The sequence below is a fragment of the Homo sapiens genome, chromosome 7 (genome assembly GCF_000001405.40).
Source record: "Homo sapiens chromosome 7, GRCh38.p14 Primary Assembly".
Classification (NCBI taxonomy): Eukaryota; Metazoa; Chordata; class Mammalia; order Primates; family Hominidae; genus Homo; species Homo sapiens.
This window is the reverse complement of record NC_000007.14, coordinates 7,238,189-7,253,210: the sequence shown is the minus strand read 5'-3', so window position 1 is coordinate 7,253,210 and position 15,022 is coordinate 7,238,189. Positions and strand designations below refer to the sequence as shown.

At 33.7% G+C, this 15,022-nt stretch overlaps 1 protein-coding gene across 16 annotated transcripts in view; it reads right to left on the bottom strand.

Moving 5' to 3' along the window:
• C1GALT1 (core 1 synthase, glycoprotein-N-acetylgalactosamine 3-beta-galactosyltransferase 1) overlaps positions 4,595 to 15,022 on the bottom strand; it is a 91,240-nt gene continuing 80,812 nt past the window's right edge. For all 16 annotated transcript variants that reach the window (XM_047420620.1, XM_047420623.1, XM_047420617.1 and 13 more), the window contains 2 exons: positions 14,289 to 14,956; positions 4,595 to 9,687 (listed from right to left, as the gene is read on the bottom strand). In XM_047420620.1, coding sequence (XP_047276576.1) covers positions 9,484 to 9,687; positions 14,289 to 14,956 — 872 coding nt within the window. In that variant the 3' untranslated portion in view covers positions 4,595 to 9,483. The remainder of the gene's footprint in view (positions 9,688 to 14,288; positions 14,957 to 15,022) is intronic.

Genomic DNA, 15,022 nt, shown 5'->3' with positions numbered 1-15,022 from the left:
TGTTTTCATTTTAATAGTTATCAGGCTTACAGTTTTGGTGATTACCTTCATAACTATTCAGAATATTACATCCCTATTTCTTGATATATTATCAATTTTACAAAATTTCTATTCTGAAAAGTAAAACCAATTAGGGCATGTATATATTACCTCGTCTTTGATATTCTATTTTCTAACTTGTTAATCATCTTTTCTATATCAAGATTTATAACATTTCAATATGCTTCCATAGCCTTATTTAAATAATTCTATAGCTACATAGTTAAATAATTAACCACCACCAGTCCTGTTCTCAATGTTTGTCCATTTATCTCTTTAGATGGGCTTCATCATCTAGATTTTTCAAGAAGTGTCCACCCTCACTCTTTCAATTTACCCTTCCATTTGAAATCACTTGGCTTCTTCCTCCCCCAAGAATCTGGTAGAGTTTGCTTCACTCTGCTTTAGCACTGAATGTTGCTACAGAGAAGCCTAAGTCCAGTCCGTTCTTCCTCTCTCCATCTCCCCCTCCCAAAGAAATCACTCAATTTTGTTGCTGCTAAGATGACATTCCCCTCTCCCTGCCCCCAGGACAATTTGCAGATTTTGGCCACATCAAGAGCAACTGTATTTTTTTGAAATTATAATGTTAAAATTAGCATTTGTTACACGATCTCACTTTAATAAAACCATTTCTATCTATTTAGCTTCCTATCCAATTTATATTTATGCATTAATTGGAATTACTTTGGGGGGTGGTGGGGTTTGGGGTCCTTTAAAAATTTTCATCTTTGAAATGGTCATCTGCAATGAATGTTTAAGTTTTTTTTAAAATAATGGAGCTTATCACTTTTTCAATGGAAAGATGACTTATCTAGTAAAAGCTGGTAGTAAATACACAAGATACAATGATGCGTACTTTTTTGTACGTTTTGAAGAAAAACTAACACAAAAGAAAAATGTTAAATGTTTAAAAAGAGGAAACAATTTCTCAAACACCTCCTCTTGATTCTGACAACTTGGGTGGGTTAATGGGCTTATGTCATAGAAATGGCATTTTCCCCCCTCCATATCAGGACACTTCATAAACTTTAACAAGAAGAATAAGCCAGAAGTTTTCTTAGCAATATGAATTAAGAGTATAAAAGCCATTGAATGATGTGGATGGAAGTTTTTACATGGTTATGGCTGCATATGGAAATGAAATGATTTAAATTGGCCCCTTTCGAGAAGAGTCTCTTGCTTCACACACTCCATTCTTTCTTCTATGTAGCATCTGGTACTTTCAGTTCCCCTTTTGTGTAAAGTGCTGGAGGTTAACAAAATACAGTAGTTCCCCCTTAACCACGGGGGGATACATACCAAGATCCCCAGTAGAAGCCTGAAACAGTGGATAGTATAATCCATCCACCAGGATTGTAGTAAGAATTACATGGGATAATGCAATGTAAAACAATTAGCACACTGCCTGAGAGTATAACTCTACTGCACACAACTACTTTTTTGGGTACTTTGCTTCTAATAGAAGGTGAGTTCCTTGACAGCAACAAATATAATTTGCCACTTTATCCCTATTATCTAGCTCAATACTTTTAGTAGGCACTCAAATGTTGGTTAAATGATTTGGAGCTAAATTGTCTGGCGTTTAGGTAAGGAATAGCAATTTTTTAAAAAGGGAATACATGCTAGGTCAGGCTGTGGAAGGTCACATAATCTGAGGTTATATTCATTTTATTCAACAGGTCATAGTGACCATTTTTAAGATGTGAGAGAGGACTGCCTTAATACTGAACACTGAAATCTTTTATCTATAAAGATTAAGTTTTTCTCCCCACTGGTTTTCAGGTATTTAAGCACCCATATTTTCACTGAGTAGGTTCTAGAAGGAAACATTTCCTTAAGAAAGAGGAAACTGCAGGATAATGTGGGCATCGATTCTTTGAGTGCTATCTCTTCTTTCTTTCAGCAACTTCTAGGCTGGTGAGAGGGAACTGAGGTTCACAAAAGATACACAATTTTTTAAAAAGTCTTAAACACATCCATTTTGATAGAAAATAGAGGCAGCCGGGCATGGTGGCTCATGCATATAATCCCAACACTCTGGGAGGCCAAACTGTTTAAAGACCAGCCTGGGCAACACAATATGACCCTGTCCCTACTTAAAAAAAAAAAAAAAGAATGGGGGCAATAAAAAGTCTTAAGAAACTAAAGACTTGCTGCTGCCAATCAGAAGAAAAAGAAAGGGTAAAAGAAAAAAACATGGAATGAGAGATGAGTAGGAGAAGGTTCCAAGAGCTATAAATTCAAAGGCCAAAAAAGAGAGAAATTCCGTCAGGCAAGTAGGTTTGTAAAAATTACTTTAAAAATCAGGAATTATATCTGTGGCCAATTATTCTAAACACATAGTTACCTTCACTTCATCAAATAAACCACTTATTATATAAACCTAATCAACATGAAAATGCAGTGGTTTTAATACTTCAATTACATTAAAAATCCAGTTATTAAAATATAATCATAACCATCCTTTTTCTTTGTCTCTGACATATACATACCCACACTCACCTACCCACACCCCACCAAAAAGTATAAAAACAAGGAAGAGAGTCATGTGTAGAACTAAAGGAAAAGTTGCATATTACTTCTCTTCCAAACCTATGTTCTGGATTTTATCACCACCTTTCCACAATCTAACAATTAGACAAGAAAATTAATAAGAATGAACTGTTAGAGGTATAGAAGGGGAGACAATGCAGTTTAGGTAGTTCTATGAAAAAAAATTGAAGCTTATGAAAGTCAAAAACTGATTAGTTGTAAAAATGAAGACACTGTACCCAAATTAGTTCTACGATAGCACATCATTCGGCAGTTCTAGAAATGAAGTACTGTTAATCTTTCACTAGGCATTCATTAGAAAAGCCAAAGAGCCTAAGTTCTAGGATTGAATCTCATTTTTTAAAATATGAGTATTTTGTTATTTCAAAGTAAGCTGTTGTATTAACCTGCACTATACAGGGGCAATATATAAGAAAGTATATAATGCCCTGGACAAATTTTCAGTCCTGGAGAAAAGCAATATTGATAATAATACAAGAAACACTAGCACATTTTGTAGAAGAAATGCAACACAGAGACAGTTTTAAGTTCTAGGCAGCAATACAAAATGCGTTAATTAGTAATAAACTCATGGCAAAACAAAGTTCACTTCTGTTTTACTAATACAGATGCATCTGGAGAATGCCAATGTTGCTGAACTCATTCAACTTTAGTAGTTAAATGTTAGTTCATTCTTAACCACTAAAAAAATTTCCCTTGAACAATCCATATTGTCAGCATTATTAGACTTTAAGACGACCACTATGTTGAGCTCTGTAGAGTACTTCCCTTTAACAAGGAGATAAATTCAGCAAGAATCTTCTTGTATGCTTTCCAGTACTATGAAGTCATACCTTTGGAAAACTTAAAATAGGTTTAATTGTATATATTTAGGTAAATATATCTACTTTCCAATGACTTAACAATTATCAGTACAGCTGGTTGGAAAATATTTAGCTGTCTGAATATGTTAAATTATACAACTCTACTACTAAAGTAGTATGAAGTGGTATTTATCTCCTCAGCTTTTCTAAAGCTGTCTAATCCAAATAACAGTGTGTATGCATGCTTGCGTGTGCACACACACATGCTAATAACATACTGGGTAGCAGATTACTGAAAAATCAAGACATATAGGCTAGACTCAAGGGCCTTATGGAATTTGTAACTGTTTGCCCAGAAAGAGATAAAATACTAGGTCTATTTTTATTCATATTCTGAAACTCCCAGACAAATCTATCAATACACCTGAGCTCTGGATGAAGTATGCCTAAAAACACAAAGTTTTTTAGCCTATAGTGTACATTTCAGTAAGCCTTCACTTACACCTACAGCATGATTAAGCAAGGGTGGAAAGTTTTTTTTTTTTTAACACATAGTTGGAGCAAATAATTTCATAGATAAAAGTAACTTCTGAAGTATATAAAATGTCTGTTATTCAACATTCAAGTCTCTGCTCAAATGTTACTTCCTAGTCTTCCTTAATACCCCATCCAGAAAATTGTTCTGATAATATTTTTATTTTCCTAATACCACTCTATGAAATACTTTGTTTATTCATCTACTAGCTTATTTTCTAACTCTAGAATTAAGACATCCTGTATGTCTTGCTCACCACTGTATTTCTAGCAGATGCCTGGCATAAGTATTTGTTGAATAAACTAATTTCTCAGTGTATGAGATAGATCAAAATATACCAAGGAGCACAGAAGCAATCTCTCTCTAAATATATGAGATTCTCTCCCCTCTTCCACCCCCACCCATCTAGACACACTTACCTAGACTACAGTGTTTCTAATTTTTTTACAGTATATTATTCTCAGTCAGAGGTGGAATATTTTGTTGCTTTAAAGTAAATAATACATATATTGCAGTAAAACTTATGAAAGCCAATTCAAACTAAATAGCTTTGATGGGAAAACAATTTTAAACTTTTGGAAAAATAACCCCAAACTACCCATAAAAGACAACATTTATCTCACAACTTTTATATTGGTTAAAAATAATCAGATGAAACAACTTTGAACATGGCAATTTATTTTATGCATTATTTAAATCCGCTGTTTAAAAATGTTCAAAAGGCACTTCAAGAAACATTTAAAAATACATTTTTCTGACTTAATGGTGATCACTTAAAAATAAGCAAGTCACCAGACATTTTTAAACCATTCGTAACACCATTACCTTAAATAATTTTTAAATTCCAAAACACGAACATTCACTATGTAGTACAACACACTGCTTAGCAGTAAGATTAGTTTCCCTCTAATAATATACTTCATGTAGATTATTAATTTGCAGGGCCCCGCAAAGTTATTAAAACTTAATATAAACTGAAAACTAGAGAGGTAAGGGAGTTGAAATAGAGCAAAATTCAACTCTAAAACTTTAATGTTGGTTGCTCTAAAGAGAATTTGTAAAATTCCTTATTCTAGCCTGTATTAAAGTTTTTATTTCAAATCTTATATATAAACACATTTTTAAAAAATCAACAGAGGTTACATTAACATTTAGCATAAAATCTACCACAGGTTGCCTCCCAGATTGCTTCACTATGTTTCTGTCAGGCCTACTATAAAGTAGAAAAATAAAATGAGTTTTGTTTTTTGTTGTTGTTTTTGAGAAAAGGGTGAGTGGAAGAACCCAAATAACTTTACTTCCTTTAATAATTGTAGACATAGAATTAATTTTAAATTATAGATTTTTAAGTAGGGCAAGTATCTCGAGAGCCAGCAGGCATTATTCTTAGACTTTTACTTTCAATTTCATAGGGAACCCTAGTTAGTAGGCTTAAAATTATCAATTAAGTGATAAAAATTCTAATCACTATTAACAGCCAAATTAACCTTGTGAAGGCAGCATTTAAGAGTAACTAGAAAATGGAAGTTAGTAATAAAGCAAACAAAGAAGGGCAATAAACACCAGGCAGAAACTGTCAAAGAATTATAGTCTAATGAACTGAAAATTGAAATGGCAAATAAAATGCTAGATGTAATTTAATCAAGGGATTCTTTCAAGTACAGTGCATCAACCTGGTAGTAACTATAGTTTGACAGTCTCAAAGAAGTGAAAAATTAATATTCAAGAAAATTGTGAAAATAACCAGTTAGCAAATTTACTGCTCAAATCCAATTCTGTATTCAAAAAATATTAAGAGCTGATCAATGATTTATTTTCATACCTCATTACAGTAAGAAAAAGCCCTCTGAAATTTATATTTGAAAGCAAACTGGGACAAAAATCTGCTTTATCTATGAACTTCCCACTAGAAAATACAAGCATACCATTATTAGAGAACATAAGACATCAAAAGCCTTATGTTTTAAAACCATACTGAAATCATTTACCAAATAACAAAGATCTTAATCTAAAAGATAGTGAATACATCATCATCATGAAATCTGGTTTTATGTGCTCTATGAAGTACTTGGAGAATTGCTTTTTTATTTTTCTTTTGCTTTATTAGGTCACACAAAACAGAATGAATTAGCAGAAAAATGTATGTTATAAAACAGCATTTACTACTTCAATTTAATTTTTTTTACTAACAATTGTGGACCTTTTTGATGACACTTATGTATGTTTTTAATAAATTATGTACTTATTAGTACTTAATGAGCCCTTCCTGCCTCAATATAAAATTACTAAACTTGGAGAATTACAGATTTTATTGTAGGCCCTGATGTTAGTCACTTTGGAGAAGCTAAAAATTTGGCCAAAATGAATGATCCAATGATCCTTTAAGTTATCTTTATATTTAATATAGTGTGATCCTGGACTACACTGATTTAAAACATGCTTTTTGAAAAATGTCTTAGTAATTGGGCAGTAATCTTCAGTGTGTTTCAAACACTACTTGCACCAAAATCACGTAGGTTGTTGGGTATTGGTTCTCAAACTAGGATAAGAAAGACACCTGCAGAGTTTGCTTAAACACAACTGCTAGCCCCTGCCCCTGCCCCTGCCCCTAGAGTATCTGATTTAGTAGATCTGATCTGAGATGAGGCCCCGAGAGAGGCTGCATTTCCAACAAGTTCCCAGGTGACGTTAATGCTGTTTGTTGGGACCAGACTTTTGACAGTCACTGCCCAAGGTATCTGGTAAGAATGCATACTCTTGGGCCCCATGCTTAAATTTGAATTTCTGAGATTGGGGTCTTCAGATCTGCATTTAACAACATCCTGGGCAAGTGTGAGAACCACAGTTTAAGAATCACTGTGACAATTTGGCTGGGTTAATTTGACTATTACTGGCCAATGCATCAGACGTCATATATCATATACATAAAAATGGAAATAATGCTACATGAATAGCCCCAAGCCTGATACGGTTCCAATGAACACACAGGGTTTTGAATATAAATCCTACCTCTGTTACTTACTAGCTTTGTGACAGTGACAAAGTTACTTTGTCTCTGAGCCTCAGTTTCCTTATCTATAATAGGGGTATAACACCCAAATTTTGAGGATTAACACTATTATACACAGATTATCTAAGCACAGTACCTAGCATACAGTTGGCATTGGATAAATACTAGCTATTACTTATTTCCTTCAGTATCTGGTCAAAGCAAATTTTTCATTCACTTAAATGCAGTACTTACACTCCAAGGTAACAGAATAATAATACAATCTTCTATTTATTGCTCCCTATCAATGTTCTAAAAACCTTACATTTATTTAATCCTCATAAAAATCCTGTGAGGTAGGTAGTATTATCATCCCTAATTAAAAGATGAGGAAATTGAGACACAGAGAGATTAAAATTGCTCAAGGTTACAAAAACAGTAAGTGTTAGAGCAAGAATTTAAACCCAAGCAAGTCTGACTCTAGAGCCCAGGATTCATCACAATATTCATTTCCTATGAGCAAATCTCAAGGTTTTTGGATATCTATAGTAAACCATTTATACTTCTAGTCAAGTAACACATATGAAAATTCATGTCCACACCATGGTGAAGAGTTGTTCAAAGAATAAAATGAATGCCTTGAAATTTTGGCAGATGATACTACCATGATAATAGGTAAAAACTGGTGCATGTTTTCACTACGTGGACAGAGTAGTCCATGGTTAACCAATGAAATGAACATCCTCTCAAATATACCATTCAAAGAGGTCATGATTTTGACATGTTTTGGCACAATAAATAGAAATTACTTAGCCGGGTGCTGTGACTCACGCTCGTAATCCCAGCACTTTGGGATGCCAAGGTGGGTGGATCACCTGAGGTCAGGAGTTCAAGACCAGCCTGGCCAACACGGCAAAACCCTGTCTCTACTAAAAATATGAAAACTGGCGGGGCGTGGCAGCGCGTGCCTGTAATCCCCGCTACTCGGGAGGCTGAGGCAGGAGAATCGCACCACTGCAGTCCAGCCTGGGAGACAGAGTGAGACAGTCTCCGAAAAAAGAAATTACTTAGCTAAATAGCAGAGTCAGTGGCATGACTGCCATGTAAAATTGGCATAATGATAAACATGAGGGAAATGTAAATACTTTGTACCATAAAAATAATCTCATAGAAAGTCTGTAAAATATTCTGCTATGACACTCAGTACTGCTAAAGATAATAAAAATAAAAAATTTCTTTCCTTTCAGAAACTCTTTAAACAGAGTCACTAAAAATAGAATGAAACATTTGTGAATGTTTTTGATGACAGTCTTGACTAGGTATTCTGCATTGTTAGAATTATCCATTAGCAAAACAATTATCCCAAAATAGCACCAACCTTCAGACTGTTATTTATAAATTAAGTATCTACTCTTTCAAAATATAACATTTTTGTTTAAGCACTCTACATTTTCTATTGTTTTTAATTCTCATCAAAATCTTGCTTTCTAAATAATCTTGCCACTGTAACTAATAGCCACCTCAGATCCTATAAACTAATTTTAAAACTCTGCTTTAAACAAGTTATGAAAGGCACAAACAAGTTCTCATCCCAACAGGATGAGAATGAAATAAACCATAACTATGTAGTTGGAAAGAGTTTAAAATATCAATTTAAAATGTCACTTAGTAATTCCTGAGAGTGGCACTGTTATAAGAAAAGCATCCTGAAACAGCATTAAATTTATTATTAGTTACCCATAATGAACAATGGGCAAATTTGGGAACAAATATGTAAAATACATGTTTACAGAATGCTATGAACGGTTTGAGTAAATTAATGTTAATAGTGGAGAATGGTATTCAAGAGTGGCTAAACACATTTAGAAAAGAGACAACAGAGATTGCGTAAAAGATGACTAATTAGAATCAAGTATATAATATAGTCAAGGCCCATGATAATTTTAAAGTGTGGTTTTATTAATGCACTTCAGGGTAAGTGCCAGTCTTATTTTAGCTTCTTCTGGAAGAAATACTACCAATTATAAATAATCACAGCAACATTTTCATTAGACAAAAACTGTGTGTGTGGGTGTGGTAGGGGGGTATCATTTATAGCATACTGCAAATATAAACTCAATTCTTGAGCTATATTAACAACACTGAGCAACAATATTTCTTTCTAAAATTTTCTTTTCTTTAAGGCAGATCTGTTTATTACTAACATGGTGCAGTGTAGTTTTAGTAAATTTACTATTTTAGTTTCTCAGTGACAATAACACAGATGGTCAGAAAACAGGCAACAAAATCTCTTTTCTAGTTCCTCTACCTGGCCACCATTTAAAAAACACAAGTTCCTCATATATATAGACATATTTATATATTACTGTATCAAAACACATTTTAACACACTTCACAGCTCATTTAAAGCTTCAGTTTATAGTCATTCATGTGAAAGGTTTCTATAAGGAATGTTCACTTAGAATTCCTCACTGGGATTCCAGTGTTCTATGTCAGAAATGCAGAAGTCCTTTTTCAGTGCAGTGCTAGACATATTACCTTTGTTCATTCATGATTTTCTTTCAAGGATTTCCTAACTTCACTTTTGTATCTTCATTTTTGTTTGCTTGACTAATTTCCTTTAGTATACGTTCAGGTAAGGTAGGTTGATATCTGTATAAATAACCATATGGACGAAGATGATAAACGAGGTATTCTAACTCATACATGGTTGTAGAATCAACATAGTGAAAAGAAACTGCAAGATCAGAGCAGCAACCAGGACCCTAAAAAAGTAGTGGAAACAGGTATTGTTAATAAACAGCACATTGCTAGCTACAATATTTACATACTTATAAAGGACCAGCTAATTTTAAAAGAATACAAACATTAAAGATGGCAAGGTAAAGCAGAGGAACCTAATGTACTAGACCTGTGGAAGAAATCAATAGTTTACTTAGACATCCTAATGATTTAAAACCAATTGAAATTGGTGAAACCAAGTGAAACTGTGGAAAGTATTTTTAAATGAAACAATATTCTCTCACACTCTTTAGCGGATAAAATTACTGAGATTTCTTCAAATCAAAGGAGCAGCTATACAAGGAGAAATCTCCTTCTCCAACATCTGCTTTCTCTTCCTCATTTTCTCACTGTAATTTTTTGTGTGGCTCATACTCGGAAACATACCTCTAGGGCATTCAATGACTACAAAGCCTTGCCCATTAGGTGTCTACAACCCAATACACTTCATCTATATATGTATCAACCCAAACAGTACAGTATTTGAGACAAAGCTCTCAACCTAGACTTGGGTTTGAACCCAAATTTTGTGGGCTAGTATACGACCTTGAGTAAGTTATTTAATCTCTATAAGCTTTAATTTCCACATTTGTAAAAGGTGGTTATTTAAAGGAGACAATGTGTGTAAATTACCCTTTGCTTAAAATAAATGCCCAATAAATGTTAGCTATTATTGACTGAAAAATCATATCAGGTGGCCCTAAGGTAGGTCAGATTTAAACCTTTGTCCAGTTATGTAATTCTCATAAATTCCTAATAGGGTTGGTATGAGAACAAAGTTTAAAATAAAACAACAACAATACAACGAACAAGAAAGCAAGAAAATTAAGAAGACAGAAAAAGAGATGAATTAAGCAGTCAACCTAGAGTCAGAATTGGTATCTGGAGAATGTTGGTGTCATCCAGGTGACTCCAACAAAACTTCAGGCTCCATCTGACATCTTTGTAAAGAATGAGGGAGATAGTCTGGCAAGTTCCAAGAGAAGATTCATATTGACTGAATATTTAATAAATCTAATAATTTATGTTTGGAAGTATGTAGCTTACAGTGTGTAAAAATTATCAAACTGTCCACTGCGTTTTCTCTGCTGTTATCTCTAAACTTTCCTTTGAAACACACACTGGATATGTAGATTCTTAGACAACCTACTCTTGCACCTTTAGGAAATATCAGAATAAAAGCAAATAGGAAAAATAACCAGATAAGTCAACTTGTGATTATCTAAACTAGCTCTGTCCAACAGATATGTAAGCCATATAGTAGCCACATAAAAAATGTAAAAAAAAAAAAAAAAAAGTGAAATTTCATTTTATTTAACTGAAAAAGTTCATCATACTGTTTTAACATGCAATAGTTTTGCGATGATTAATGAAACCTTTCTTGAAATTAGGTGTGTATTTTATTTACAGCATATCTCAATTTGGACTAGCCACATTTCAAGTGCTCAATAACCACACATACTTAGTGGCTACTATACTGTCCAGTGCATATTAAACTTAAGGACTAGACCAGTAATAGTTATAAATTGCTGACCTCTGGAAGCAATTTTTATATTCTGTAAAATAATATTTTTGATAAGATTTACTGCATTAATTATATTGCTCTTATTTATTTATATTTTACTGGATGGCCAGGATTCTGTTAAGCATTTATGCAATAAAAGACAATAAAAGTAAAAAGCTATAATTATTAGAAAACAAGAGCTAGCAGACAATTATGGTTACCCAAAAAAACTCAAGAATCTCAAGTGAAGAATCATCAGAAATAGAGAATTCAGTTACAAAGCCAGATTTTAAAGATGCTTAAAAAGAAAATCAAACAAATAAGTTTTCATATATATCAGTAAAAAGTTAAGTCTTTAAAAGCCCAAGTAGAACAGTAACAAAAATATTGCATACCTATGGAAATAGTTTATAAAACTTGACCAAAGGACCTAAAAGGTGACTTACAAAAAATCCTGGGCAAAGATGTTATTGTCCCTAAATTAATGAGTTTGTATGCAAAGATAAAGAAATGAGTTGCCAAAACACTTAGAAAAAAAGAAGAGTTAATTTGCCCTTAGAATAGTAACTTAAAACTGCTGTAAAGCTACAAGGTTCAAAACAATATGGTGCTGGGCCAAAATCAAATGAGAACAATGGCATAGAAATGAAATCCCAGATTTAGATCCTACTATAAGTAAGGTTACAGTGTATGATAAGGGGGACATTTTAAATCAGTAATGAGTTAAAAAATGGTAGTAGAATAATTAGTTAACAATTTAAAAAAATCAGGAGCTCTCTACCTCACTTATGTACTAATATGTTTCAGATAGAATAATGTAAATAAAACTGAATAAAGTAGATCATATTTGACCATTTCTGACCTACAGAAAAGTCAATTTTTCATGTAGAGAGATATATATGTAAACAATTACACATATATTTTAAATCTACCATATTAAGACTCACTGCAACTTCTCTGGTGAAAAGTCTATTACTAAGAAGGTGGAGTGGGAAGGGAACTGCTTAAGAGTCAGTTCTGAACAAGAAATTTAGGAATGTAACTCTTTCATGAATTAGAATATCTTTTACCCTGACTTGCTAGATAAAAATTTTCTGTATTTTCAGTAATTAGTATATAGAAAAAAAAAGTATGTATAAGATTTAAACTCATTTAGGGGGAAGAAAACTTACTAAATGATAGATGGATAATAATAGAATTTTAGTTTCACGTTGGGTTTATGTAAGAATCTCCTGAGGGAGAACAGGCAATGTCAGATTGATGGGTCAATTTTGGTACTCTGAATTCTAATTCTGTTTTATGGTCTTCAACATAATTTGATAAATTTCTAGAGAAAGAACAAATTTGCCAATTATGATGTCCCTTTGCTACTACTGTATGTGTATCCAACATCAGATACTCTTAGTAAGATCTTATATGCATTTGGATGTATTTGCTACATGTTTATATTCTTGAATTTGGGTAAATTTTTTATATGGGAAAAGGATACAGAATTAAGGAAAAAAGATCAAGTCATCTTGGAATGGTCAAAATATATTAAGAAAAGTTTACATCAAAAAAGCATCCAAAGTAGTACTCTCACTAAAATAGAAAAACAGACTATCAAAAGTTTCCTTTTAAAGCTGATTACCTAAAGCTTGGGTCAGATGTTCTAGGCCAGGGTCTCTGAACCATGGTACTACTGACATTTTGGGCTAGAGTAATTCTTTGTTGTAGGAGGCTGTCCTGTGCATTTTAGGATGTTTAGCATTTAGTAGGTTTATAATGTAGTGGGTTTCTACCCATTAGATGCCAGTAGCAGCCTCCTAGCTGTAACAACCAAAAATGTCTCCAGACCTTGCCAAATGTCCTCTGGGGGCAAAATTGCCCTGGGTTGAGAATCACTGTTCCAGATGATGATTTGAAAGCATTGCCTTATGAAGATGACAGTAGTAGCATGAAGTGTATTATTTATACGTTAGGTCCACAGAAAAGAAGGCATAGAGAACTAGTGACTTGCCTAAAGGCATTATTAGTAACAGAACTGAGCCTAAAAGCTAGGTTCCATGATTCCTGGTCTCATTCAGTTATTCACTGAAGCAATGCTTATAATAGTGAACACAGCAGACATGTAATTAACATTGATAAATCTCAATGTTGTGTGAAAAGGGCAAGTTGTAGAAAGATATTTATTTAAAAATCTGAAAAACAATACTATAGCATTTTCTTCTTTAAATAACTGAAACAAATGTGGCAAAAAGATTAATATTTGGTAAAGACAGGGGATAAGTACAATGTATATTCTGAAATATTTGTACTACTGGAATACTTCCTAAAATAATGCACTTTAGATAAAATTCTCAGGAATGTGAGCCAAGGCTTATTAAATGCTTACTGTGTGAAGGGCTGTACTATGTTGTAATTACAACAACTAAATAAGACAGGTACATTATGTCCATCTTACAAATGAGGAAACTGAAGCTCAGATGTCATCCAAGGCTCCTGTCCATCCAAGGTTGTTCGGCTATTAAGTGAGAGAGCAGGATTTGACTCTAGGTCTTTCTGAACCTCCATTAAATCCTCCTGATGACTAGAAGGCTCTTTACCCAGATCTTCACCCAACTTGCTCTCTAATAACACTCAGGGTTCTGCTCAAAAGTCACCTCTTTGAGAGGCCTTCTTAATCACCCAAACCAGAGGACTCCATCCCACTCTGGGTCACTCTCCATCCCCTTACTTGGCTTATTTTTCTTCAGGGCACTTACTACTAAAATCCTATTTTATATTTACAAGTCTGCCTGTTTACTGTATATCTCCTCATCCAGAATGTAAGGTTCACGAGAACTGGAAATTGGCTGTGATTTACTTCTACATTCTCAGTGCCTGGCATATAACAGCATCAATAGCTATTTGCTAAGTGACTACTGCTGATTGCTGATGTCCCTGTTCTCATCTATTTTGTTATACTGCCACTCTATTTAAAAAGACTAAGGAAGAGTCCTTGTTGTTGGTACTAAAGAAACATACACATATTAACATGTTTTTATCAACAAAATTCAGTCAGTCCAAGTATTGACATAGTAATAAAATTTCTAAACTTACCTCTACAGGAGGATAATAGTTGTAATTCCAGTACCAAAACGTTCTAGGTAGATAACCTTTAATTAAATGGTGTTCTGGCACAAAGGGATGAAAAGTTTCTTTTCCAATGGTATCTCTGGAATCTCCTGCTTCTACATTCATAATTTCCATGCATCTCCCCAGTGCTAAGTCTTCAATGGAGGAACTATGTGTACACTTGTCTGTTTTAAATGCATCAACAAATCTTTTCAAGGCTTCTTTGCTTAGTACATATCCTGCTCCTCCACTCATGTAGCCCTGCTTTACATAAGGCTTAAATCTTCTCCCAAAGTAAATGGGTTCTTCAGGGTCGTATTTTGAAAGAAGCCACCTCAAATTGTCTAGTATGACATACGTGTCATCATCTGCTTTCAAAAACCAATCAGCATCTTCTAAATAATGTTCATGAACATACTGAAAAGCTTTAATTGTTTTCCAGTATAGTTGATCTCTGCCTTCTTTGGTTTTCAGTCCCACAGCAGGGAAGTCTTTATTTTCTTCTGAACTCATAAACAACACTTTGTTACAACGCTGGGCCCAAGTAGCTTTGACGTGTTTGGCCTTTTTCTCTAGGTTTTGAGGGCCGGTCATAACCCAGCAAAGAATTCTAACTTTCTGATAGAGGTTTTCAGCAATGTCTGTGTTCTCATCTATTAAACAAAACATTTTAAAAGGTTATTTACATAGATGTAAAATCCAAATATTAATAAATTATA